This window comes from Homo sapiens, assembly GCF_000001405.40.
Source record: "Homo sapiens chromosome 14 unlocalized genomic scaffold, GRCh38.p14 Primary Assembly HSCHR14_CTG2_UNLOCALIZED".
In the NCBI taxonomy this organism is placed as follows: Eukaryota; Metazoa; Chordata; class Mammalia; order Primates; family Hominidae; genus Homo; species Homo sapiens.
The window spans coordinates 146,701-149,145 of record NT_167219.1 but is presented as its reverse complement, the minus strand read 5'-3'; positions in this window follow the sequence as shown (position 1 = coordinate 149,145).

The following is a 2,445-nucleotide window of genomic DNA, read 5'->3' as shown; positions in this document are numbered from 1 at the left end:
ACCAATCGATGCAAATCAAATAGGATTTGTTAAAATCAGTCACATCCAATACATCTGAAGTGTTCTTGTATAAAATACAATGTGAATAAAAGAAGACTTCATCAGTGTCTTAAAAAGTGCATTTGTTCATAGACAATCTGACAAGTTACCATTAAAAGTGTTTCCTGTGACATAAGGAAAAGCAACGTTATTTTTCTTGAATCTTTTTAGTGCAAGACTTTCCACTCAATAAAATAGCAGAGCATCTGAAACTGAGAAAATATTTTTGATTACAAACAGCTTGTGAAACTTAATACTGTTTTTTTTTTGCATTATCGGAGGCTTTTACTGAACTTACAACCAACTTGCCCACTCAGCATGCAGTTCAGATGTGAGAGACGCTTCTCTGTACAGGAGCCGGTACTGTCTTCAATCCTACGCGTGCAGGTGTCTACCACAGGCAAACAGTTTACTCCACATTTTCTAGTAATGTGATCTTCCTTTTAGCAAAAAGCTGTAACCAGTCCCTGTAGACTGAAGGGACTCAAGTGACAAAATGGGGATTTCCTCCTCATGGCTTTTATTTTGATGTTTGAAGTCTTGATGCAACATTCTGAGCAGGGTGTTACTGACCTGCTGTGCCCCAGGTACTGATAAAGGAAAAAGGACTATTTATTCTTTGTGAATTGACGCACATATCAAAAACTTAACACACAATAACGGAAGCTGGTCGTTAATAAATCACACCCTAGTCTTTCAGAGCTTCCGTAAACAGACGACATCTTCAGCTTTCTAACTCTTGTAGTTTTTACACTGCAACATCAATGATGCATATGTCCAGAATCAGCTAAAAAGAGCGTCAGATTCTTTTTCTCTTAGTACATCTATTTTTCACTGTCCTTGTTCCCAAGTGTATCAAAATGATTACCTTCCGGCATTCTCTACTATTTCTCGTTGGGGTGCTCTCGATTGTCCCCGTGATTGTGGGCTGGTTGGGAGAGGGCGCTTGGGAAGTATGTGCCACTGTCGGGAGGTTGTGAGTCAATGGGATGCCTGCAGGGATGATCCCTTCCATGGACGCAGGAAGTCCTCCTGGATCCACACCCACAATGACTGAATGAATTGCTTGCTGGTCTATTACTGACCAAAGCACAGATGTGACAAAGAATTCCTTGTTCACACAGTTTCTTTTTTTTTAATTTTATTATTATTATACTTTAAGTTTTAGGGTACATCTGTACAACGTGCAGGTTTGTTACATATGTATACATGTGCCATGTTGGTGTGCTGCTCCCTTTAACTCGTCATTTAGCATTAGGCATATCTCCTAATGCTATCCCTCCCCTCTACCCCCACCCCACAACAGTCCCCAGTGTGTGATGTTCCCCTTCCTGTGTCCATGTGTTCTCATAGTTCAATTCCCACCTATGAGTGAGAACATGTGGTGTTTGGTTTTTTGTCCTTGCGATAGTTTGCTGAGAATGATGGTTTCCATCTTCATCCATGTCCCTACAAAGGACACGAACTCATCCTTTTTTATCGCCATATAGTATTCCATGGTGTATTTGTGCCAGATTTTCTTAATCCAGTCTATCGTTGTTGGACGTATAGGTTGGTTCCAAGTCTTTGCTATTGTGAATAGTGCGCAATAAACATAGGTGTGTATGTGTCTTTATAGCAGTATGATTTATAATCCCTTGGGTACATATCTAGTAATGGGATGGCTGGGTCAAATGTTATTTCTAGTTCTAGATCCCTAAGGAATCGCCACACTGACTTCCACAATGGTTGAAGTAGTTTACAGTCCCAACAACAGTGTAAAAGTGTTCCTATTTCTCCACATCCTCCCCAGCACCTGTTGTTTCCTGACTTTTTAATGAACACCATTGTAAATGGTGTGAGATGGTATCTCATTGTGGTTTTGATTTGCAATTCTCTGATGGCCAGTGATGATGAGCATTTTTTCATGTGTGTTTTGGCTGCATAAATGTCTTCTTTTGAGAAGTGTCTGTTCATATCCTTGGCCCACTTTTTTAGGGGGTTGTTTGTTTGTTTTATTCTTGTAAATTTGTTTGAGTTCATTGTAGATTCTGGATATTTGCCCCTTGTCAGATGAGTAGGTTGCAAAAATTTTCTCCCATTCTGTAGGTTGCCTGTTCACTCTGATGGGAGTTTCTTTTGCTGTGCAGAAACTTTTTAGTTTAATTAGATCCCATTTGTCAATTTTGGCTTTTGTTGCCATTGCTTTTGGTGTCTTAGACATGAGGTCCTTGCCCAAGCCTATGTCCTGAATGGTATTGCCTAGGTTTTTTTCTTTTTTTTTTATGGTTTTAGGTCTAACATGTAAGTCTTTAATCCATCTTGAATTAATTTTTGTATGAGGTGTAAAGAAGGGATCCAGTTTCAGCTTTCTACATATGGCTAGCCAGTTTTCCCAGCACCATTTATTAAATAGGGAATCCTTTC